Source organism: Homo sapiens, chromosome 6, assembly GCF_000001405.40.
Source record: "Homo sapiens chromosome 6, GRCh38.p14 Primary Assembly".
Taxonomy (NCBI): Eukaryota; Metazoa; Chordata; class Mammalia; order Primates; family Hominidae; genus Homo; species Homo sapiens.
In genome coordinates, this window is record NC_000006.12 from 5566509 (window position 1) to 5592843 (window position 26335).

Sequence of the window (26335 nt, forward strand, 5' to 3'; positions counted from 1 at the left end):
TGATGCCTCCTCTGTTTTTCCCCAGAAGTCCCATACTACCAGAAGTTATTTTAGGGCCTTTTATGCATGCATTAAGAGTGGTAAGACACAAAATGGAGAAAAATAATTCAGTTAACTGAGAAGAAAAGAGCCTTTTTCCAGAAAAACAAGATTCAAGAAGAGAAAAACATGAAGGACTTTTAAATATACCTATAACTTGAGTATCTACTTTTAGTTAAGCTGGGCACTCTTTAAGAAAATCCTTTTAAATCCCTTGTTACTTGACTTTAGCCACACCAAGCATTTAAGATGTTCCGCTTTTGAACTTTACAAAAAGTCCCCTTACAGGTGAAACCAACAAGCCTTAATTAGGTTATGACTTAACCGTGAGTGTACAAGGTATTTTTAAAGGAGTGATAGGCAGCTTTTGAAACTGTCATTGCAAAACTGTCACTGAGACAGTGAAAGAGATTTGACCCAAACAACTTCATTTTGTTTCCAGCCCCAAAGCTGTCCTTGCCCATGTCTGGGCGTAGGCCGAACCAACTTTGGGAAGAGCTGGGTTTACAGTCTATAGTCTAAAACAGTCTATAGGTTTACAGTCTATACTCTATAGTGGCTACACCATTTAATATTCCCACCAACAGTGCACAAGTGTTCCAGTTTCTCCACATCCTCGCCAACGAGTTATTTTTGTTTATTTTAATAATGGCCATCCTAATGGTGTGAGGTGGTATCTCATTGGGATTTTGATTTGCATTTCTCTAATGACTAGTGATGTTGAGCATCTTTTCATGTAATTGTTGGCCATTTGAATATCATCTTTGGAGAAATGTCCTTTCGAGTACTTTGCGCATTTTTTAATTGAGTTCTTTGTTTTTTGTTATTTTTATATATTTTTAAAAGGAAATCATTTGCAAATGTGGCCATCGTATTGCTGCAAACAAATTGCTGCCAGTACAGATTACATTGTTAAGCATGATGGTTGAAAATATATATCACATTTAGACCATTACTGGCCACAAGGAACTGATATTATTTGATGTGGTTTTTGAGGTTCGTTCTTTGTCTTGCTGTTACTCTTCTAGATACATATCTATTTGTTGAGTATAGCCTGGTGTCATCACCCTAGGTCCTACATGTTAAGATTCCTAAGGTTCAGACAATAGATGGAGGATAAAGAGTTGATTCTAAGAGTCTTTTAAAATTCTGCCCATGTTTATGCATATATACGACATACAGTCAAATCCATCCCCAACATCATCTTTGAGTGTATGATGAGACAGAAGAGATCTGAAATTTAGAGGCCTTGGAATTATTTAGCTAGTCGCTAGCTATTTTCCCCTGGGTCACTCACCTGACTGTTCTGTCACTACATTTTCTCACTGGTAAAATAAGTTCAGATACTCTCAAAGGCCACTCCTTATTCTAGGATGCTATGAAAGTGAGTAGGATTTTCCTATCTCCTCTTCTGTGTACCTCAGATTGCATTGTTACTCCTGACATTCATCTTGACTTAATCTTGCCAGCTTAAAAAAGTTGTTGTGAAAAGAGATGAGTGTTTCTCTGTTGACTTGTGATTATGTGAACAGTGCAGAGTGCAAGCCCTCTCTCTGCTTCTGTCTGGTCTGTCTCTGTCCTTCCCCCTTTCTGTCTGTGTCTCTTGCTGTTTTTCTCTATGTGGCATTTTCTTTCACTCTGTCTCTTGTCACTCTTGTAATATGCGGTTCTGATTCACGTTCAACTGTCAACATAGCAAGGGGGAAATGGTCCCAGGCTGCATAAATCCACAATGGGAGTGATTTCTCTGCTCTTTATTAAGATTTTTGTTGATGTATGTGACATTCAACAGGATTTATCCCAAACACAAGAGCGTTATTAATTATTTATAAAACATTTCTGAGCATCTGCTCTTGTGCCAGGCACCGTGCTTGACCCTGGGGACACAGGAAGTATAGTTTCCTGCCTTCAGATAGCTCCCGCACTAGTGAGGGAGGGGCATTAATATGTATAGGTGCTTGATAAAGGTAGCTAGGCCTGAGGAGTCTGCACTGTGTGGCAGGCAATCAGTCCAGTAATGGGAAGGAGACAGAAGTGTGAGCAAAGTCCTGGAGGCGTGAGACAGCCATAGTCTGTGGTTCAGTGTAGGGTGTTTATAGCAGAGTGTGCTGAGTTAGTGTGGGGAATGTGGGCAGTGGCAAACTTAGCTCGCAAAGCTTAGGCTTTGAATGGTTTCTGTAAGGCAATTAGCAAGACATCCAATTTTGTGATCAGATTTCTATTTTAGACAGATCCCAGTGCGGATAAGATGAGGATAGATTGGGGCCATGAGGCTAGGAGCCCACTCGAGGCCCGGCACAGAAGAAATGATGTGATATCATGTAGGGTAGTAACAGAGAGACTAGAAGGTAGGGTTGGGCTCAGGAAATTTTAGGAGAAAACATTGAAAGATCTTGGATCCTTATGTGAGGCAGAGGCAGAGTGACCCTATGGCTTAACACCTAAATTGGGGTCTGGCTGCCTTTGAGACTTGCAGGGGCACTGTTAATAACTGTGTTGCATGTCTCGGTGCAAACTGGGATTGACCTGGGTAAAGTGGGTGTTTAATCACAGTAGGTAAACATGAGCCAGAAAGAAAATGGTTCCTAGGTTTCTGCCTTGGGAGCTGGGTAGATGAGAAACAGGAGAAAAAACAGGTCTGGAGAAGAAGATGATGAGTTCAATTTTGGCCAGGTGAGTACAGGAGTATAATTTTTTTTTTTTTTTTGAGACAGGTTCTCACTCTGTTGCCCAGGCTGGAGTGCAGTGGCACAGTCATGGCTCTCTGCATCCTTGACCAACTGGGCTCGGTCGATCCTCCCACCTCAGCCTCCTGAGTAGTTGGGACTATAAGCATATGCCCCCATGCCCGGCTAATTTTTGTATAGTTTTTGTGGAGATGGGGTTTCGCCACATTGTCCATGCTGAGCTCAACTGATCCACCCACCTCGGCTTCCCAGAGTGCTGGGATTACAGGCGTGAGCCACCGTATTTGAGCAGGAATATAAAAATGTGAATTTAAACAACTTCATTGTGGTGGTGGTAGTGGTCATTGTCTTTGTTTTGTTTGTTTTAATTGGCATAGTCAAGTCTTCAGCTGAGCAACTGGTCTTAGGTATGGCTGGCCCAAGTGACAACTCAGGCCAAGATAGAAGTGAGAAGTTGGAACAGGGTTGTTTACTGTGGAGGATGAGTCAGAGCTGAGCCCTTTAAGAGAGGATGGTCCAGGGGAGGTGAAGTCAGGGCATATTGTTATGGGGGAGAGGTAGTTGCTGAGCAAGCACTGGCATGGGTTGATGCTTGGGAATGGCTGTCAAGAGGACAGAGTGCAAAGGTCAACAGGTAAGATAAAGGAAAGCTTCCTCCAGAAAAGAGGACTGCATTAACAGGGGTTGGGGAGAGAGGTAGAAGACGGATGTCAGGGTCAGGCATACAGTGTTTCTTCCCTGCCTGCCCAACATGCTGGACTCTTTAAGGATCCTTCAATTCTTGAACCTTGCTTAAGGACAGGTTATGTAAATGCTAGTCATCAGCAAAAGCCAAACTCACATTGTTATTTCTTTTTAATCATAGCTGTATTAAGCTTTTGGAGGTCTGTTCTCCCAAATGTTTCTGTCTGTTAAGCAGAAAATATTTCTTCCTTGACCAAGGACTGAAAAGTGAAAGAAAAAAGATAGAATAAAATGTTCTATCTAGAAAGTGCTATCTAGATTTGAATAGTTGGAACATCTTCCTAAGGTGTTTATTTTGGTGGATATGTGAGGAAATGAGAAGAGACGATGATATTGAAAGTTGACTTGCATTATTTGTTTAAAGTTTTGACAATTTTGAGTATTATGGTGTGCACTTTGCATTCTGGTGCAGTGATAAAAACCACAACATCTTCTCTTTATTTCACTCTTCTGGGCTTAAATTTGCATCTTTAATATTGTATTACCATAATTTTTGCATATTGTAAGGTAATTCAGTTGCCCTCTTCCTGCATGGTTCAGATTTCCAGTTTTGTATGAGTTTCTTATTATTCTCACCCAGTTTCCCAATTAGCACCTTGTTAACTACACACCTGCTGCACAGAAAATTGTATTACGCCATTTAGCCTTTTTAAAGAAAAAAAGAGAGAATGGAAGACACTCTGTTAATAGGTTATTTCAACCTCAAAAAGTGATGCCTCTGGGCACAGAACCACAACATGATTGCTGACGGGGAGAACCTGATTGTTTAATAGATGCTAGAACTGGAACAAGAAAAGCTTTTGGCAGACCTCTGGAAACGGGGGTAATCTGCACTGTCACCACAGCTGTGCACGCATTTCCAGCTTCAAACCACAGAAGCCAAGCCTGATCCGTCAGGTTCTGCACATTTCTTTGTGGAAGAATCACTGAGCCACTTCCATTACTGTGCCACTCTGAAATAATTTCCATTTATCATCTCATCCTGGGATTAGCTTTATTTCCTAGTATAGAAGAAATAAATAGACTTACTGACTGTTTCGTTTTCAAATTTTTCGTGAAGACTTGGTAACTTTTCACTCAAACGGTTATTCATTTATTATACTTACTTCCACATCGTGCATCTATTAAAGGCAAATATGCAGCCGTTAGTATGTAAATGGAACTTGCATGCTGAACAAATGAGGTAGAACCTCAAACGTTATTTATTGACTAATTAGTGTTATTGTAATCAGAGGAGAGCCTATAGAAATGTGTAAAACTATGCACGATGGGCCTACACGAATATAAGCAGATGTCAATTTCATTTTGGTCTAGCTTAATTCATGCGTCTTCTGTGACATACGGGTGTAATACCTTCATTTCAAATTGATTTAGATGCTTACTTAACTATTAAATGATAATAGCTAATTTAGTGGAAAAGATTATTAAATCATATAAAAAAGAAAGCCTCACCAACGCACGTGGAGAATCCTACTTACTGAAGCATGGGAGGTTGAAAAGAAGGCACAACTAGGACCTTCATTAGGATTCTTCAAGTTGGCCTTTCCAGAGATGGCTTTCTGAATCACGAGCCCTCTGCTTCACGCTATCATCTGTCACCTCCTGATCATCCCTTCTGTGTCATCTAGTGGCTCTAGCACCCGGCTGGGGTTCTCCCCACCAGCCTAGAGGCAGTGCAAGTGCCCCAGTAACTCAGTCTTCTGTGAACTAGGAAAAAAGCATTTCCTCCTGACTTCACAGACCTTCACAGCCACACCTGGATCCCTAGCCACCTTTCTTTTATCAGAAATCCCCTCTCATCCCACGATCTTCTACTCTTCTCTCCCTTCCCCCCATTTCCACCAATCCCTCTCTTGGGCTCCCTCTTTACCCCCATCTGTTCCTTGCCAGTCTGCTGTTAGGCAAACCTCTAGCCTCACTTCTTGTGCCATCAAGCCCAGACCAAACCCACAGTCACCTGTGTACACTGTCCTGTCACCTGCAGCCTCAGCTCCCTCATCCTTTAATTTCTGCCAGCCTAGTTAGTCAGGCCCCTATCCTATATCAGCCCCCAAAGTTATCTTTTTCCTGTTTGGACATGTTGTTTTCATGTTGAACATGCCTGTAGTAGGTCATTCTTGCATTGCTATAAAGAAATACCTGAGACTGGGTAATTTTATAAAGAAAAGAGGTTTAATTGGCCCACAGTTCTGCTGGCTATTCAGGAAGCATGGTGCTGGCATCTGCTTGGCTTCTCAGGAGGCCTCAGGAAGCTTACAGCCATGGCGGAAGGTGAAGGGACAGCAGACACGTCCTATAGTGAAGGCAGGAGCAAGTGAGAGAGACAGTTGGGGGTGGGGAGGTGCCACACACTTTTAAATGACCAGATCTCACAAGAATTCACTCACTTTTACAAGACAGCACCAAGCCATGAAGGATCCACCCCCATGATCCAAACACCTCGCACCAGGACCCACCTCCAGCACTGGGGATGCAATTCAGCATGAGATTTGGGCGGGGACAAATATCTAAACTATATCAATGCCTAAAAAACAAATAGTAAGAAAGAGATCGATGACTGCCTCCCATACAAATGTACGATCTCCTCTTGGGAGTTCTAGGTTTGTGCCACAGCTTCCTTGCCCACCTCCCCACCCCAAGCCCGTAACAAGTAGCCTCATTTTATTCCAGGAAAAGAACTTAGACCATCTGACATGAAATCCCCCATCTTTTCTCTTCTCCACTTCTGATTTTTTTCAGGGTGCTTCTATCCATCCTAGATCTACTTAATCAAAATCTTTGGGGATGGAATCCAGAAATCTGCTTTTTTAAAATGCTCCCAGTGATTCTTCTGTGCCTTAAAGTTTGGGCACTTCTGACCAACGCTATAGTAATAACCAATGGACTGGTTCCACTAACTTGGTTCTTCCTATTTCTGGCCATCATCCACATATCATGGTACTGTCTCATGTTAATAGTTTAATGCTGTCTTGTTTCAATAGTTCCTCATTACTTAAGGAATAGATCTTGAGTTCCTTAGCACAATATCGAAAATATTTGTTCACTAAATGTTTCTTCCTATCCAGTCTGCCTCGCCCCCTGCTCCCTTATACCTGCTTTTTGGCAGTCACATAGGACTTCTATTTTCTGAAGTCAGTAGAAATTTATTTGTTGATTCACTGATTCAATAACTCTCTGTTGAGTCTCTGTTGTGATACAGACTCTGTGCTCAGCCATTGAGTTCATGACCAAGACATAGCCCCTTCCCTCACTGAGATTATAGCCATGACTCTGTTCAATTACTGCTCTTAGAAAACACCCTCCTCACTCCATTTCTCTCATTGAAAACAATAGGCAACTTTTATTGAGTGCTTACCATGGGCCAAGAAATGGGCCTAAGCCAGCCAGCCCTCTTTCCCTTGCTCCTTTCTTTTATTGACACACACACACACACGCGTGCGTGCATATAGACACGTGTGTGTATAATTTTATTTAATCCCAGCTGAATGGTGTAGGTATTATTGTTAACCCCATATTATGGTGAAAGCAATGGAAATTTAGAGTCTTAGAGCTAGTGCGGGTGAACTGGATCTGCAAACCTGGTCTTTCTGACTCCTGTGCTCCATTGCTTCTTTAGGCCGCATTCAGACATTCTATCCATCCTTCATCCCCCATTCCCTACACCCCTTTACCTTATTGTTTCCATTGCCCTTTGTTTATTCAACAAACCTCCGACAACGTTTAAGTGCCTTCTTTATGTTGGGCTTAATTAGAACACTTTCCAGGCATGGGAGTTCTCTCTCTGCTTCTGGGCATGGGAGATCCTTAAGTATAGTGGACCACAGTGCATTCCTTGTACATTCAGGGCCCAGCACTGGTATTCTATCACAAGCACAGTGTCTGGGTCCTATCAGTATTCAGTAACATTTAGTGAACAATCTCAGGGAAGTAGAACATTTTCAGTTAAAGTGTATTTTCTATGGTCTGTGACCTAATGTATTTGCTCACCAAAATAATGGTGAAAATTGGAAAAATGTTTAGCCTGCCATACATTAAAGGCTGGCAAACTTTTTCCAAGGAACACTTCAACGGCAGCATTTGTATTTAAGTAGTGAATATGCTAATTGCATGTGCTTCTCAACTACTTCTTTATTAAAATCACTAGGAGAGTCTTTTTGTTTTGTTTTGTTTTGAGACAGAGTCTCACTCTGTCATCCAGGCTGGACTACAGTGGTGCGATCTCGGCTCACTGCAGCTCCCGGGTTCAGCTGATTCTCCTACCTCAGCCTCCCAAGTAGCTGGGACTACAGATGTGTGCCACCACACCCAGCTAATTTTTTGTATTTTTAGTAGAGATGGGGTTTCACCGTGTTAGCCAGGATGGTCTCGATCTCCTGACCTCGTGATCTACCCGCCTCGGCCTCCCAAAGTGCTGGGATTACAGGCGTTAGGAGAGTCTTTTGAGAAAAATAGGTCTACTGTATGGAGCGGTCATATTTATAATAGTAGAAGGTTGAAAACACCCTATGCCTCCCTCAGGAAGAGAGTGGTTAAATGCATTATGCAGAATGTGTAAAAGAAATACTTTGTGGCAATGAAAAAAATACCCTTTACTCAGATTTTGTGTATCTGTGTGTGTACAGTAGATTCTCATTATTTGCAGTAAATATGTTCTATAAACTTGCCCCCAACACTGAATACTGAGCTTTAGTTCCTAGAGGAAATGCAGGATTAGGTTCCTTGGAGCTTCTGATCACCTTTTCATCAAATCATTTAATGAATAACTTTGTTTTATGTGTGTTTCTGTTTAGTGGTACCTTATTTAAATTACAGTTGTTCCTCAGTGTACTCAGAGAATTGGTTCCAAGACCTCTTGCAGATAACGAAACCTGTACATACTCAAGTCCGGTAGTTGGCCCTGTGGAACCTGCATATACAAAATGTCAGCTTCTGTATTCTAGGATCCAGGGAATACTATATATTCCGTTTACGTTTGATTGAAAAAAAAAATCCACATATAAGTGGACCAGTGAAGTTCAAACCCAAGTTGTTCAAGGGTGAGCTGTGTGTTGTTGGTTCATTAACATTGAACTCTTGACCAATCGCACTATAACTCAAACATGAGTATTTTCTCCGTAAGACACATCACAGCCTTCTTGGGCTAAGGACACCAGAGAGTACTTCAGCACTATGCTTGGAAGTCATTTTAAACAGTGAAACCACCACCATAAAGCACAAAATTCCAAACAATGTGGCACTTAATCGAAATAAAACAAGAATGCAGACCATAGACCATCACCTTGTTCAACATCAGCTGGGAACATGTGTGTTCTGTTTCTCAAAATTTTCACTCCTCCATGGAGCATGGCAAATAATGATTTGGAGGTTACAAATAAATGTTCACAAGTAGATGAATTAGTGCACGCAGAATCTGGGCATCATGAGGATCACCTGTGTATCTGTACCTCCCTCTTCCACCCAATATTTGAGAGCAAATGGGAGACACATACCCTCTTCTCCTAAATGCATCATGTGTTTTCTAAGATCAAGAACTTTTTCTTACATAATCACAGTAAAGTTAATATATGTCAGGAAATTTCATGTTGATTCAATATCTAATCCAAAGCCCATATTCAAATTTTGTCAGCTCTCCCCATAGTGTCCTTAATTGCTATTTTCTTCCTGGTCCAGGATTCAATACAATTTTATACATGTATTTTGTTGTCATAGCTCTTTGGTCTCCTTGAATCTGAAATAGTTTCTCAGCCCTTCTTTGTGTTAGTTAATCGTGACATTTTTGAAGATTACAGGTCAACATAGTAGAATGGGCTTTCATCTGAATTGGCAGAACCTTCCTCATGACATAAAATTCTATTTTGTTCTGTTTTATACAATTTTTTGGCTTCATCTTGTGCATTTTCAGTGGAATACCACAGAAGTGCTGTTTTGTCCTTTTCAATGCATTGTGTCAGGAGGGGCATGATGTCAGTTTGCCCCCATATTGGTGGTGAGAGCTCTGACCTTTAGGTTAAGGTGATGCACACCGTGTTTCTCTACCACAAACTTACCCTTTTCCCCTTTACACATTATAATTAAGTTATTTATGGAGTGGTACTTTAAAACGATTGAGTCTCATCACATTCTATTCACTGGTTTTAGCATCCATTAATGTTTTCTGTAAGGTATTTATAATTCTGATGGTTAATACTGATTGTCAACTTCATTGGATTGAAGGATGCAAAGTATGGATCCTGGGTGTGTCTGTGAGGGTGTTGCCAAAGGAGATTAACATTTGAGTCAGTGGGCTAGGAAAGGCAGATCCACCCTTAATCTGGGAAGGCACCAACTAATCAGCTGCCAGCATGGCTATAATATAAAGCAGGCAGAAAAAAATGTAAAAAGGCTAGACTGGCCTAGCCTCCCAGCCTACATCTATCTCCCATGCTGGATGCTTCCTGCTCTCAAACATCAGACTCCAAGTTCTACAGTTTTGGCACTCGTACTGGCTTTCGTGCTCCTCAGCTTGCACATGGCCTATTTTGGGACCTTGTGATCATGTGAGTTAATATTAATAAACTCCCCTTCATTCATATATATATCATATATAGAGTATATATCTATGATATATACTCTATATATGATATATTATATATATAAAGTATATATCATATATTAACATATATATATATCCTATTAGTTCTGTCCCTCTAGAGAACCCTAATACAGTAATTGACATTCTTTTATAAGGAAGAGCTTTTCCTCTCCCAACTTTATGTATTCATTCAGTAATTTGTATTAATATCAAAAGGACTTTTGAAGATAGTAAATACCTAAATAAATAGAATTTTATTCAATGAGTAGCAATTCCTTACTATCATTTTTTTTTAATTTTGAACCTCTTATCTTCCCAGATTTGGCCACTGGGAGCCCTTTCCAGCTGCCTCCTATGTCCTTTTGATGTCTCCATGATTCTTAGACAGTCTCTGTATTTCCTGAGGGTGTTGGAAATGCTCTGTATCTTGATGGGGCTAGGTTCTAAGGGTATACACCTATATAAAAACCCATGGAAATGTGCGTTATGATTTAGACATTTCATGTATATAAATTTTACCAGAAAGAGACTGTAAAAAAACAATGAATCCTAGCCAGGAGGGTACTTTTAAAATAATGGTGTGGGTGAGCAATTCTGAAGTTACCTTCTATTAATTCTAGCTTGAGCAGAAGAGTAAATATATTGAAAATAATGGGAGTCAGATTTCTCACTGCTTGAGAAGGTAATTATAGATATAATTACAGATATGGAAAACAGAGAAGCAATAATAAACCCTGATTATTAGATTAGAATCCAAGGTATTGATATAAACTCATGGTTTTTTACACTGAAAATAGAGAGAGAGTGAGTGTGTGTGTGTGTGTGTCCCTTCCTAGCTCTGCCAGCTTTGAGGGCCTGGACACAATACAACAATAGCACTGAGCTACCCTAGTACTTACATCTTGGTTTCTAAATACCACACTCCATTAAAAGGAAGCAGGGCTCATTATAGAAAAGACTGAACTCGTGGCCAGGGCAGGGAAAATAGAAGATTAGCCTGGAATATCTTGTTGAACTTGATGTACTTTTAAGATTTTTTTAATTTCTCTCTTCACAGTCCTTTCTGGAGGATTTAATTACATTCATTTTCTTCTTTAAACTGCTTACTAAAACTATAGAGAGCAAGACTGTGGAATCTCTGATAAACATAGATCCGGAAAGTGGGATATACCAATATCTAGCAGTAGCTTTGGAGTAAACAATAATTGGATTGCCATTGTATCTTTTATTTATTTATTTATTTATTTATTCATTTTTATTTATTTTTTGAGAGATGGAGTCTCACTCTGTCGCCCAGGCTGGAGTACAGTGGTGCGATCTCAGCACACTGCAAGCTCTGCCTCCCGGGTTCACGCCATTCTCCTGCCTTAGCCTCCCAAGTAGCTGGGACTACAGGCACTTGCCACCATGCCTGGCTAATTTTTTGTATTTTTAGTAGAGAATGGGTTTCACCGTGTTAGCCAGGATAGTCTCAATCTTCTGACCTCGTGATCCGCCCATCTCGGCCTCCTAAAGTGCTGGGATTACAGGTGCCATTGTATCTTTTATTGTGTTCTCTTGCAAATATTAATCTTAATGTTACCTGAAATGTGATAATATTTCCATTTCATTTTGATAAGAATGAATAATGGTTAAGCCCTCTTGTGTCTGCCCCAGTACCTTCTTCAGCACCTGTTTGGTGCTGGTGTCCAAGAGAAGTTCTCAGCCAGGGTCCCCAGCCACTGCTCCCTAACCCACCCATAGCAGCTTAGACTGTGGCCCCTTCTCACTGGGCAGGGAGGGAACTCTGGGCTGCGCTGAGGTTATGCTCAACCAAATTCCTCTTCACAGTACCCAGCTTGTGTCTCGTTCCATGTGTGAATGGCTGTGAAAAAGCCTGGATTCATGGGGTGGGGGCTGGAAGGTGGAATTAGTACCTTTTCAATTTTTTTTAACGTTATTTTCAAATAAAAAGATAATAAGAAAAAAGAAAACAGTGGGCCAGGCACGGTGGCTCACCCCAGTAATCCCAGCACTTTGGGAGGCCGAGTTGGGCAGATCATGAGGTCAGGAGATCGACACCATCCTGGCTAACACAGTGAAACCCCATCTCCACTAAAAATACAAAAAATTAGCCAGGCGTGGTGGTGGGCGCCTATAGTCCCAGCTACTTGGGAGGCTGAGGCGGGAGAATGGTGTGAACCCAGGAGGCAGAGCTTGCAGTGAGCCCAGATCGTGCCACTGCACTCCAGCCTGGAAGACAGAGCGGCACTCCGTCTCAAAAAAAAAAAAAAAAAAAAAAAAACAAAAAAAAAAGAAAACAGTGGCAAGACGTGAGCTCTAGAGCCAGACTGCCTGAATTCACATCCCAACTCTACTGCCTTATGACATTTCTCTGGCCTGTTTTCTCATTTGTAAAATGGGAATAATATTAATGCTTACGTGGAGGATAAGGTTTTGTGGGGATTAGTGAGTTTCAATACACATAAAATTCTTAGCACAGTACATGACATATAGAAAACATTGCCCTAACTATTATAGCTATAAACGTCCATGTTAGTTTATTAAATAAATGCTTTACATGTATTTAAGTGAGTATATTAAGGCTTGTGTATAAACTTCTTCTTGCCCTGCTGGAAGTTGCTATATGTACTTAAAGGTGTAAATAAATGTTTCAGAACACATTTTTCACTGCTGTTACATTTTACCAATGACTTTGCCCATCTTATTATGAAGTTTTTTGTTTTTTTTAGATGGAGTATTGCTCTGTCTCCCAGGCTGGAGTGCAGCGGTGCAATCTCGGCTCACTACAACCTCCGCCTCCTGGGTTCAAGCGATTCTCCTGCCTCAGCCTCCCGAGTAGCAGGGATTACAGGCTGGGATTACAGGCGCCCACCACCACACCCAGCTAATTTTTGTATTTTTAGTAGAGATGGGATTTCACCATGTTGGCCAGGCTGGTCTCGAACTCTTGACCTCAGGTGATCCACCTGCCTCAGCCTCCCAAAGTGCTGGGATTATAGGCGTGAGCCACCATGCCCAGACTATTATGAGGTTTTAATGCCTGTTCTCTGGGTTTAGCAGAAGGAACAAGTTATTTTTCCCCCAAACCAATATCTTTCTTTGTCCATTAGAACATGCTTTATACGGCATGTGGAGGGATGTGTGTGCCTCACAGTCCCTGACCAGCACTTCGTATCTTGTTGAGTTATTAATGATTTCTCTATGGTTATTTCTTTTCTGAAAATAAGTAATCACCATGGCAATGCTGTCACTTACTAATGATGCAAATAAGACTTTACGCATCTCTGCAAATCTACTTAAAAATAAAATAGCTTTAAAAAAATATTGCCCTCACATTTGGATCAGTTACTCATTCTATCCTGTTTTTTGTTTGTTTTTGTTGTTGTTGTTGTTTTCTGCCTTTAGTTTTGTCTGCTTTTGCTTTGTCAGAACATAGGGCCTATAGAAAGAAAGGGTAGGCCGGGCGCAGTGGCTCATGCCTGTAATCCCAACACTTTAGGAGGCCTAGGCAGGCGGATCATGAGGTCAAGAGTTCAAGAGCAGCCTGATCAACGTGGTGAAACTCCATCTCCACTAAAAATACAAAAATTAGCCGGGCGTGGTGGTGCGCACCTGTAATCCCAGCTACTCAGGAGGCTCAAGCAGGAGAATGGCGTGAACCCGAGAGATGGAGGTTACAGTGACCCGAGAGCATGCCACTGCTCTCCAGCCTGGGTGACAGAGGAAGACTCCGTCTCAAAAAAAAAAAAAAAAAGAGAAGGAGGGAGGGAGGAAGGAAGGAAGGAAGGAAAGCAAGAAAGGGTAGAGTTTAAGACGGTTTGATTCTCTAGATTGTGTTACTCTCATTTTTCATTTGAAGAAATGGAGGCGCTCTGAGGCATATTTATTATACTGTAGTCTGGTCAACCAGAAAAACAACCACACAGAAACAAGGTGCCCCTGTCCTAACAGCTGCACCCACCTAAAGCCCAGATACCCACATGGCCAGCAGCAGCAGCCCCCGTGTGTCTCTGCAGCCACATTTGCCTCAGTTTCTCTCTGTAAAGTGGGTATAATGCCTCCCTCGCTCATATCACAAGGGTAACTGAGAACTTGCCTGAGAGATGACTTTGTGTGCAGGGATAGTGCTAGGCAGTGCTAGGAGGATGTGATTGATCGTCATGCTCTGGACGCCGCCATTCCTGAGATGAAAGTTGGGAAACCATTCTCAGGGAAAGGCAGCACCCTTCCCAGTCCAGGCAGCCCTCTTCACGTCCACATTGGATACTGGTTCCTATCCTCTGTTACCATTTGTGGATATAAATATCTATCTGTCAATATGCACAATTAGTGGAAGACATAGGTTGCCAAAAACCACATTTGTTTAGTATGAACGATAAACAGAACCTTTGGGAAAGTTGTCTATTCATTGGTTCTGGAAAGTTTTCCCTCTGTGTGCATGAAATTAAGAATTTGGAATTCACAGCAGCATGACAGAGCTTACAGGAAGCTGACGAGGCCCATGGTTGTTGTTTTGAAGGCTTGCAGCCTTAAAGGTGTGCAAAATTACAGAGGACAAGAAGCCATTTTCACAACTGGATTTGCAGCATCAATTATTCACCATCTGTTTACTGAGAGCCTGGTATGTGCCCAGCACCGGTGATGGCTCCTGCCTTAGCACCGAGTGCAGCTGAGGAGAGAAAAACAACACCCAAGAAACAGTTTCAGAACATTTACTGCTCTCTTGACTAGGAATACAAAAGGAAGTTAAAAACAAAACCCACGCACACACATAGAGAAATGAGGGTCGGCCATCGTGGGCAGGAAGGGGATTTCAGAAAGCCTTTAAATGAGTTATATTTTGCTTTTACATAAAAAAACAAAGTCTGTCATATGTCTAGCCGGCTAGTGCTGCTGCTGAAGAAGCTGAACATCGTCCCAGAGGGCAGCAGAACTCTCCGCATCGCACACAGGCAGTTTCCAGCCAGGTGTGTGCCAGTTGCTGGGTATATGCTTGTTTGCTCTGAGCCCTGGCATCCCCCTCCAGCTGACAGCTGCTTTGTTGAAACTGCTGTTAATGCTGAAGAGGGAGCAAAAAGAAAGAAGGGCATCGTGAGGTGTCCTGCCTCTGCACGTTGGGACATGGAGTGGTTCTTTCTGAGGAGCCAGGCCCTTAATTCCTGATGTGCTTTTCTAAATGGTCACGGTAACATACTTCCGGTTAATTCCTGATGCGCTTTTCTAAATGGTCACGGTAACATACTTCCGGTTAATTCCTGATGCGCTTTTCTAAATGGTCACAGTAACATACTTCCGGTTAATTCCTGATGCACTTTTCTAAATGGTCACAGTAACATACTTACGGTTAATTCCTGATGCGCTTCTATAAATGGTCACAGTAACATACTTCCGGTTAATTCCTGATGTGCTTTTATAAATGGTCACAGTAAGATACTTCCGGTTAATTCCTGATGCGCTTTTCTAAGTGGTCACAGTAACATACTTCCGGTTAATTCCTGATGCGCTTCTATAAATGGTCACAGTAACATACTTCCGGTTAATTCCTGATGCGCTTCTATAAATGGTCACAGTAACATACTTCCGGTTAATTCCTGATGTGCTTTTATAAATGGTCACAGTAAGATACTTCCGGTTAATTCCTGATGCGCTTTTCTAAGTGGTCACAGTAACATACTTCCGGTTAATTCCTGATGCGCTTCTATAAATGGTCACAGTAACATACTTCCGGTTAATTCCTGATGCGCTTCTATAAATGGTCACAGTAACATACTTCCGGTTTAGCAACATAACTGGATGCTAACATAATGACTACAAATAATGACTTACCTATGTTAAGTACTTATGGACCCACGGTGGCTATGCTGAATACTTTGCATGTATTTCCTAGAATCTTTACAATAACACCATAAAGAAAGTACGAAGAGTGTCCCATTTTGCAGATGAGGGAACTGACATTTAGAGAATTTAGACATCTGTCCTACGGTACACAACTATCAGGTGGCCCATACGAAATTGCTTTTTTAGGTATCAAAAGCCAGTCACTTATTAAAAATTTCATGTAGTTCATGCTGACAATTTCTGGCAGAGCCATTGCTACCAGATAACTCTAAGTTTGTGTGTATATACTGATGTAAAACTCTCCATGGCTCCATGGCTGGGCTTTTAGTCAGATTTCACCAAATTAAAAAGATGAACTTCTACAAAGTTAAAAAATTTTTGTTTGCACTTTCAGCAAAATAGCTCTTTATGTTAAACTCTGAGACATGGAATACTGAAGTTTATGATATCATTGTGGTTGCAACAGTGTTCAACTTGCAGGTTCCATGATGGTTGATTTTTGACTGCTTGAGTGTGTTTCCCTGCAGGCCTGCAGGGTGAGCTGTGAAGCTCACATAGAGACATTTGAGTTGTATTAAAATGGGTTAGCCAAGGCCTAATGGGCTGTAAAAAATAATGTGCTGTGGTGGTGTGTCTGATGATTTCCAGCCCTCATTCTTTCATCATTAGACCAGTGACACCCTCTAAACAAACATCTTACCAGTCAATGGATAAGTGGTCCCTGTGTCCAATACATAATTCTCATGCTTAAAATTAAAAAGTTATTGTAAAAACAAAATGGTCACTATGCCTAATATATCACTGTTCTTCCTTAGCAATTAGAACCTCTAAAATGAGTGAAATTAGAATAAAGAAGAACATTTCTATCTTGTTTGCATGAGCAGATAGGTCTTGGACCTCTGGAAGTTCAGCTCAGTCCACCAGTGTTTATTGAGCACCTGCAGCCAGGTGAGAGGCATTCTGCAGAATTTGTGGAAGAATCATACATGCTTAAGTGTTCTCTGCTGTGCCTCAGTCTCCCTATTTATAAAATGAATAAAGACGGCTCTGCTTCCAAGAGATTTCATTTGTATGGCAGCTTAAAATCTTCCAGAGAAACATGGCTGCCATTTACATTACTAATAAATAAAATTGTTCCCTAACAGAAACCAGCTCACTCAACCTGCCTATATTTACAATTAGAGTCGTTTGTTTGTTTAACAGATCCTTAAGCCTTACTTCCAGGTACTGTTCTAAGCATTTTATGTATTTTTTAAAAACCTATTACATAGATATTGTTACTATTCCCATTTTACAGATGAGGAAACTGAGACCTAGAAAGGTTAGATAACAGGCCTAAGGCCACAGGACTCTGAAAGTAAGTGAGGAAGCCAGGTTAAACCCAGGCAGTCTGGTTCATATCGTTCCTGAATGTGATAACCCTGCAGTCTGTTCCATCCCGGGCACAGGCAACTGGCTATTCTCACTGGGGAAGTCTGTTTTGCAAGGGTCCTTCTTTGTGTGCCTGAATGTGATGCATTTTGCACTTACTTCCTGAGAAAACTATTGCTGTTTCTTAAAGGTTCAATGGCTTTTTTATCCAATTTGTGATGGAATTCAAAAACAGAAGGAAGGATTTTTCCAGGAGGTATCTCTGTTTCTGTAATGGAATAGCCATTAGTTCCAGTTTCTCCCCTTAGCTAGCTCCCCCCGACATTCTCTCTCTCTTTCTCTCTCTGACACACACACACACACACACACACACACACACACTCCTTGAGTGTTCGGATGAGGACCCTGCGGGCCCTGAGTTCCTGCCCGACAGCATAAGAAGTTGGCGTAGAGTCAGCCCCTTCCCACTGCCTGTCAGAATTCTACACTCTTCCTTTTAGTTTTAGAAACCCATTCATCAAATGTGTATGATTAAAAACAGCAGAATTGCTAGATTCCCTTAAAGAATTGGGTAATTTTTGCAACATCATCATTTCTCCCCCACCCCAGCACCCCACCATCAGAACAAACAAGCAGACCTTTTAGCTTGACTTTTCAGCACTCAGCCATATTTGCAAGTAATGATTACTCTGGTTAGGAATTTCATATATTTTAAATGTGGTTTCAAAGGTCTTTTTAAAATTAATTCCTCCTCCCAGCCTTCCTCTTTCTTTTTCTCTCCCCTCTTCCCTCTCTCCTTCCCGTGTGTGCCTGTGCATGTGTGTATGTTTATATATTTAAAATGTATTATTTGAAGACAGGCCATGTTAGATTTTGTCAGTGGCACATTTCCTTGATGGCTGTTTTATCAGCATGTTTTTTTTTAACCTTCCATAGATATGCATCTGCCCCCAAATAGCGTTTAATGAAGAGGTCTTCGAAATAAATCTCTGAAAACAAAAGCTACTTTATTCATCATCTGCATGGAGAGCAGCCATGGAAACTCATCTGTGAAATGCATAATTAGAAACCAGAGGCCTATGTTTGTGCATTTGCCAGAGAGTGGGGAGATATCGATGGTGTTAATAAAATCCTGATTTTCAGTTCCTTCTTCTCTGATCAGAATAAGAATTAGATTACACAGAAACTAAATTACAAGAGGCAGCATAGAGAAGAAAAATGCATTATTTTTCTTATTGTAATATCCTTCTTCCCATATTCTTTTTCATATCAAAACATGGTGCTAAAGCTCTTTAAGATTCATATATATAAGCTATATATGAAAAGCAAGCAGAATTATGTGGGGAAAACAAATATTTACTTTTCTGTAGGCTAAAAATCTTCATATTTCTATTTTGCTGGTTTTTATTTTAAAATATTTAATTGACAAAAATTTATATATTCAAGGTATGCAATGTGATGATGCGATGTCTGCATACCTTGTGTAATGATTACTACAATCAAATTAATTAACATATCCATCACCACTCAGTTATCATTTTTTTTGTGTGTGTAAGTGTATGTATAGTAAGGACAACTGACGTCTGCTCTCATCAAATTTCAAGTAAACAATACAATATTATTAACTATAGTAACCATACTGTGTATTAGATGCCCAGAATTTATTAATCTTATAACTAGAAGTATGTGCCCTTTGACCAACACCTCCCCATTCCCCCACCCCCATCCCCTGGCAACCACCTTTCTACTCTTTGCTTCAGTTAGTTCAACTTTTTAAAGATTTCTCATGTAAGTGAGATCATGTACTATTCGTCTTTATATGTCTGGCCTATTTCACTGAGCGTAATGTCTTCCAAGTTCATCTATGTTGTTACAAATGGCAGGATTTCCTTCCTTTTGTGGCTGAATAATAGTCTAATATATATAATATCCCATTATATATAATATTCAAATATAATCCATTATATATGGAATACACACACATATATACTTATATTTACATATAAACACTTATATACACATATATATGTCAATTTCTTTATTCATTTATCAATGATACTTAGGCTGTTTCCACATATTAGCTAGTATAACTAATGCTGCAATGAACATGGGGTACAGATCTCTCTTCTAAATACTGATTTCATTTTCTTTGAATATATGCCTAGAAATGAGATTGCTAGATCATATGGTAGTTCTGTTTTCAATTTATGGATTTATGGAGGAAGCAGCGTACTATTTTCCATAATGATTTTTTTTCAGGTAGTTTATTATTAGTATATAGAAACACAACTGATATTTGTTGATTTTTGTATCCTGCAACTATACTGAATTTGTCTATTAGTTCTAACAGATTTTTGGTGACTCTTTAGAGTTTTCTATATGTGAGCTCATATTATCTTCAAACAGACAATTTATCTTCCTGCCATATTTGGATACCTTTGACTTCTTTTTCCTGCTTAATTGCTCTGGCTAGCACCTCTAGTATTATGTTGAATAGAAGTGGCAAGAGTAGGCATCTGTATCTTTTCCTTAATCTTAGAGGAAAAGCTTTCAGCTTTTCAACTTTGAGTGTGATGTTTACTGTGGGCTTGTCATATATGGTTTTTATTGTGTCTAATTTATTGATTGTATTTATCATGAAAGGGTTGCATGTTGTCAAATCCTTTTTCTACCTCTTTTGAGATGATTGCATGATTTTTATCTGCATTCTGTTAATGTGGTGAATCACATTTATTGATTTGTGTATGTTCAACCATCCTTGTATCCCAGGGAGAAATTCCACTTGATCATGGTGTATGGTCTTTTTAATGTGCAACTGAATTTAATGTACTAGTATTTTGCTGAGGATTTTTGCATCCATGTTCATTAGAAATATTTGTCTGTACTTTTCTTTCTTTCTTTCTTTCTTTTGTAGTACCCTTGCCTAATTTAGGAATGAGATAATGCTTGTCTCATAAAATGAGTTTGGAAGTGCTCCTTCCTCTTTAAATTTTTGGGATAGTTTGAGAAGGGTTGTTGTTAATTCTTCCTTAAATTTTTGGTAGCTATGTTTCTGTTTTAAAGACTGTTGACACTTAGGATTGGCTTTTTGGTGTACTAAAGTCCTTGTAATCCTGATATGCTAAACCACATTACTTAGAAGACTGATTATAATATATTCTCTATAACCTACCAAGGTTGAGGAATGGGATTATCAAAATGTGTGGCTAATGGAAGCTATATGACTTAATAATATGAATAATCTCCCGATAAGTAAGAGAACTAAATGCTTTTATTATAAAAACTGTAGCAGTATTTAGTCAGTACATTAATATCTGGCAACCCTTAAAGATGTACTGTCACTTACTGGGTTGCTCTTTGACCTTTGTCAATTCATTTAACCTTTTTGGGCCTAATTTTCTTCATCTATAAAATGGAAACAAAATCATTTCTCCTTCATAAAGGTGGTATTAAGGAATATGTAAAACAGTAAATGTCAAAATATCCTATACATATGTGAGATTATTTTTTATTATCTTGCTATGTTTGAAGTGTTAGAGTCACCGTTCATAGAATTTCAGATTAATAGAATCATAACAACAGGATTTATTTTAATTGAGATTTTAGGTTAGTGAGGAAAAGGTGGGATCATAAGCTAATAGACATCTATACATGAAATACTGTTTTCAAAAATGTAAGGTTTGCAAATAATTGATTTGGCTTAGAAAATCCACGTTGCTCAACCCATAATTACAAGTTTTCATTCATCTTGCTTTAGAAGCCATCTTTCCACCACAGCATATTTCATGCTGTGTTTCTGGCAAAGTTTTCATGACTCAATTTGGAGACATAGATTTTCTTACTTGAAGATTCACACAGCCCATTAGTATTTTAAAGATTCTGAGAATCTTATGAAAGAAACCTGAAACGAATATTTCCCTAACTTACTTGACATGAAAAATCCTTTTAAAGAGAGCATCTGTTAACATTCTTTGGGTCAAATATCCCATACTACCTTAAGTTCATGAGCTCCGGGGGTGGACTGCCCTTGTTCAGATCTCCATTGTGTGACCTTGGGATCATAACTCTCTAAACCTCAACACTCTCATCTGTAAAAGGGGGACAATGATATTTATCTCATAAGGTTGTTAAATAAGGTAATATATCTTTTAATACGTGTTGTTTAATGGGATAGTGTATGTAAATTATGAAACAACATATTTTAAGATAGGTAAAACCCTGACTGTGGTGGGAATGGGAGGTGGGAGAAGGCTGGAATCACTCATGGGCTAGTGGTCCTTTCTGGCCTTTAACTCCCCAGTGAAGGTGACAGCTAGGCCTCTTCATAATCGAGTTTCCCCTTACTGTAAAACATGGGTCCTTGTTCTACCCCAAGGCAGCCATATTCCCTCCTCTTCTTAGTATCTGAACTTAGGGTCACCTATTCAAATGTGCACATGGGCCAAGCAGGGGATGCAAACATGTTAAGGGGCCCAGGGTGAAGGGCGGGGGAAGTGGTGTGGGCGTGGGCAGCAGGGCATTGCCAGCCTCTTCTCCTCGGGACCACGCTGTGGCCTCCTGGAAGCCCAAGGCCAATCTGCCTTGACTTTTATTTTTTAAAAAGATAAGTTAGAAATCTGGAAGGTGTTAACATTCCTGATTTTTCTGTAGACAAATTGTTCAGATTAAAACACAAAGCAGCACACTGTTTGGCCCATGAGCTGTTGGTTTTGCAGTGTCTGCATATAAAAGCAAAGTCCTAGGGACCTCTGCTAATGGGCTTCTGGTGGCTGCCCTCTCCCTCCCCTGCCAGCTTGCTCACCTTTTCGCTTTTCTTTGACCTCTGCCCTTTTCCCTTGCTAAGAAGAAAGAAAACCCATGTCTTCTGTTCAACCAATGGGTTCCACTGGTTCTGCCTACTGGGCCTCTGTTTCCATCATAGGACTCTTTCTCCAAGTGCTTCCTAACCAGTAATCACCGTTTATTTGATTGTCCACCAGGCTCCAGACTTGCTAGGTTCTTTCGCGTGCAGTTCTTTGTGGGGATCCAACTGCCTCATCTGTGATCCCCGGGCAACCTGGCATTACAGCCTTCAGTTCTGTTTTTCATCCTAAGGCCACGCCTGCCTGTCTTTCTACACCTTTGTCTATATTCACATCATCGCCATAGGCAATCAGCTCTTTGGGGCCATTTTCGAGGAATTAATACTGTATGAGAGGGAGCCATTCCTAATAGTCTTTCTTGACAGTTTTAGGTTAGTCTTTACTATGTTGCTAATTCAGACTTAAAGAGACAACTGGCCCTCCATGTCCCAGCTCCACGGTGATGGGTGTGTTTCTCAGCTTCTCAAGGAACTGCATCTCTGATACCTTTATAATCCCAAGGCCTGTCACACAGCCTGGTCCATAGGGAGGAGGTGGTAAAAAGCCAAGAGCTAGAGCCAGCTCCCCCCGTCCTAGGTCCCCCAACCCCAGTTCGGCTGCTTCCTAACTTAACCCTGGGCAAATTTCTTAGCCTCACTGTGCCTCAGTCTCCTCAGCTGTGATGAGGGGTTGGTGTGAGGATTAACAGAAAGCCCCAAGACAGCACTTGGCAGGTAGCTAGAGCTGCATAAATATTGATCCTTAGTGGTAAAATTAGTATTCATGTGGCAGGATTGCAGTACATGCTTATCAGAGGACAGAGCTCAGAAAACTAGTTTGTCTTTGGCAGTAATCTTCTCTTGAACAATGTAAGAATCATCTTTTATTTTGAAGACAGCAAGAACCCTGCAGCTTCGCTTTGGCAGTACCATGTTTTTCAGAGCCTGCTCGATTTGTACACTGAGTGCGGCTACCTCTGCAGATGTGCTGTAATGCAGCAGGCTCACTGCAGTGATTCCTTAAGTGTTAGACGAAGCACATTGCAACCTGCCATATCTGGGAACACCAGTGGTATCCTGCTAAGAGTCTGGTTGCTGAGATTGGACAGAGATAAGCAGCAAAATGCTTTATGAAAATAAGTGCTGAATATATAACCTTTTGGTAAATCATTTCCAAGTAGATATTTTATTTTTCTCTATTTTATGGATAAGTATGTGTCAACTAGCTGTTTGTGCATAGATACAGAGCACATTAAAAAATTGAATATTCCATACATATAAATGAGCTGCTATATCCTAGTGATTAGAAGCATAAACTTGGATGCCAAGCAGAGAGCGTTTCCATCCGCAGCCCCACCCTGCATAGCTATGAGACTGCACAGTCACTTAACTGCAAGTTACGGTTTCTCCATCTATAAATTGGGAAACCAATATAGTACTTCACTCCTAAGGTGGTTTTTGAAGATTAAATATCAAAATGTATGTAAGGTTCTCAGTTCAGTACCTGACATACTCTAAGTGCTCAGTAATGTTAGATAATGTATTTAAAGTTGGTGGTGCTACTGGACTGGATCTCAGTGCAGGCAAATGTGATAGTGAAGAATGATGCATAGATGACCAGTGGCCTTTTATAGAGCGAGATAAACACATTGCATGAGGCTGGTAGCAGTGTTTCCCCATGCACCGTATGTGTCCAAGTTCTCTGTGGAGCTTTCAGAGGAGACTGATGCCCAGCACTATTCCTGGAGATGTAGATTCACTTGCATAGAGTCTCAGGCACCCAGCCAGCCCGGTTGAGAGCCCTTCAGCTCTGGCACAGTGCTCCACAGTTACTGAGGTCATAGCTACCAGCTGTACCTTGGTGTCGTCTAGCACAGAGGTGTTCGTTGTTTGATGAGGGACAGGCTGGGAATGTGAGCATTCATTCAGATCCATCCCCATCTCTGAGAAAAATATTCCCAGCATAGCATCTGTTGATGTGGATTTGAGTAGGAAATGGGCCTCATGCACTATTCACATTCATCTTTTACCCCTCAATCCCATATGTGCAGTCCTCATCCCAGTAGACTTTATATTAGTCAGTGGAAGTACAGCTTTGTACATTGTACTGAAGCTGGCCAGCACTTTAATTTTTTGAGGGAAGAGATATTTTGCTCCATTTTTGCATTTGGCCTATCATGTCTTATGTTATAAACATTTTTAGGCCTTTCCCTTTCTCTAAATTTCAAACTCCTCTTGAAGAATACCTACATCTTATTTTAAATTTCCTAACAGCTCATTGCTTTGCACATTGTAAGCTTAGAGTGAAATTCCTGGAAAATGAATTAACCATGAGAAATTACTAAGCAGTCATGGAGATGAGCTGTGAAAATGTATTCTGGTGATATGGTGTAAATTATGCATATCAATCACATATAAAAAACACACAGATCAAAGAAAATAAGTATAAGTGCAACATTACACTTTCACAATCAACCCAGACTTCTGTTTATTGGACCTTTGGGGATGGATGAGGGAATCTTTTGGTGTTAATGCCATTGAATCTTAGATAAGAAAACCCTACCATTTCATCTTTTTTGACAAAGTTATAAATTAATTTCCTGGAACTTAGAGAAAAGAATACCATACTTAAATGAAGTTTAGGTGTCTGAAAGTCACACTAAGGCCAAGTAACAGCAGGAACAAGGGAAAACACTAGAACCGAGTGGTCCAAGACAAGGTGGTCAGCTTTCTGTATTTGAGAGTTGATTGAATATGAGAAGAAATCTTACGTCCCCTCCGCAACTTACATCAGCTTCTCTGAGCACAGCTGTGACCACTCTGTTGGATTCTGTGGGGAAGATCACAGAAACACAAGACGTGACTTCTGCTCTCACGAGGTTTGCCTCTGGCCTGAACGCCTCCTCGAGATATGGGCGATCCAGGTGCCTGCTGGCATGTCCACTCGGATGACCTGTTGTGTTTCACATTCGACATAAAACTCATTCATCTATACCATGGCATGTGGAGCTTGAAGGAACCTCAGCTTTATCTCCCAGGGTTTGCTGATGGAAATGCTGACCCATTTCTTCTCGCCCCGAGGATCCTTTCCCTTCCCACTCCTGCCATTATACAATCATCAACTCACATAGCCCCTCACTCTGTGATCCTCCCAACAGATCATGATTGCGCTTTGGATTCCCATAGTACTGTGTTTGTACTTCATTCCTTAAATTAGTGTAACCAATGTTTAAATTAAATATTTAAATTAATTTAACCCATACTTACTTCCCCATCACTTTGTAAATTTCTTGTGGAAAAAGAGTATCTTACTAATCTTGTGTGCCTTTCATGTTTCTTCGCACATAGCTTTCTATACATATTTGTTGAATTAATGAGTCAAGAGAAAAGGAAGACTGTCTAAGATGGGTCGATTGATGCCAAAGTGTTTGCAGACAATACATTTTGTAGATGCTCATATTTTTATATGGCTGCTCTAGCCTTTTAAAATATGCCATATTTGGCTGAGCGCGGTGGCTCACGCCTGTAATCCCAGCACTTTGGGAGGCCAAGGTGGGAAGACTGCTTGAGCTCAGGAGTTTGAGACCAGCCTGGGCAACATGGGAAAACTCCATCTCTACAAAAAAATACAAAAATTAGCCACACATAGTGGTATATGCTTTTAGTCCCAGCTACTTGGGAGGCTGAGGTCAGGGAATCACTTGAGCCCAGGAGGTTGAGGCTACAGTGAGCCGTGATCACGCCACTATACTCCAGCCTGTGTGACAGAGCGAGACCTTGTCTCCAAAAAAAAAAAACAGAAAAGAAAAACAAAACAACAACAACAAAAAACAAACCTGCCATATTTACTTTGACTGGTTCAAATCTTTAAGAGACACAGCCTCTACTATCACTTGTAATATTTTAAATCCCTTGAAAACAGTGGTGTGATCTTACAGTAGAAAATTCACCAACCTGCCAACCCTGAAATAGACTGAGCCTCTACCCCAGACTCTTTCTTTGTTTATTGGATTTATCTAGTGCCTTTGCTTTAGAGCTGAGAGGACATATGCTAGGCACCTGGAGAGATCCCGTATTTCAAAACAACCGATAGCCAGTAAGAATGGGGAAGGCAGCAGACGCCGTCTCTGATGTTGATATACCCTGCTTTGTCTCCCCTCGCTTTCCCTTAGCAAAGAAATGTTTCATATTCGCAGCACAGTCAGTACTCCTTGCCTGCCACGAGGCCCAGAGCGAGAAAAG

General features: G+C 40.7%; 1 protein-coding gene across 15 annotated transcripts in view, besides 2 other annotated features; it reads left to right on the forward strand.

Annotated features, from left to right (window-relative positions):
- The window catches only part of FARS2 (phenylalanyl-tRNA synthetase 2, mitochondrial), a 521650-nt gene that overhangs the window by 316575 nt on the left and 178740 nt on the right, over positions 1–26335 (forward strand). The window lies entirely within an intron of this gene.
- Positions 14805–16004: an enhancer, noted in NCBI's record as "BRD4-independent group 4 enhancer chr6:5581546-5582745 (GRCh37/hg19 assembly coordinates)". NCBI's record gives its function as "activates an origin of replication core promoter dependent on BRD2, P300/CBP, MED14 and CDK7 cofactors, and independent of BRD4, by STARR-seq in HCT116 cells {active_cell/tissue: HCT116}" and the evidence as "EXISTENCE:reporter gene assay evidence [ECO:0000049][PMID:35650434]".
- Positions 14885–14954: an enhancer, noted in NCBI's record as "active region_23909". NCBI's record gives its function as "activates an Ori minimal core promoter by ATAC-STARR-seq in GM12878 lymphoblastoid cells {active_cell/tissue: GM12878}" and the evidence as "EXISTENCE:reporter gene assay evidence [ECO:0000049][PMID:35858748]".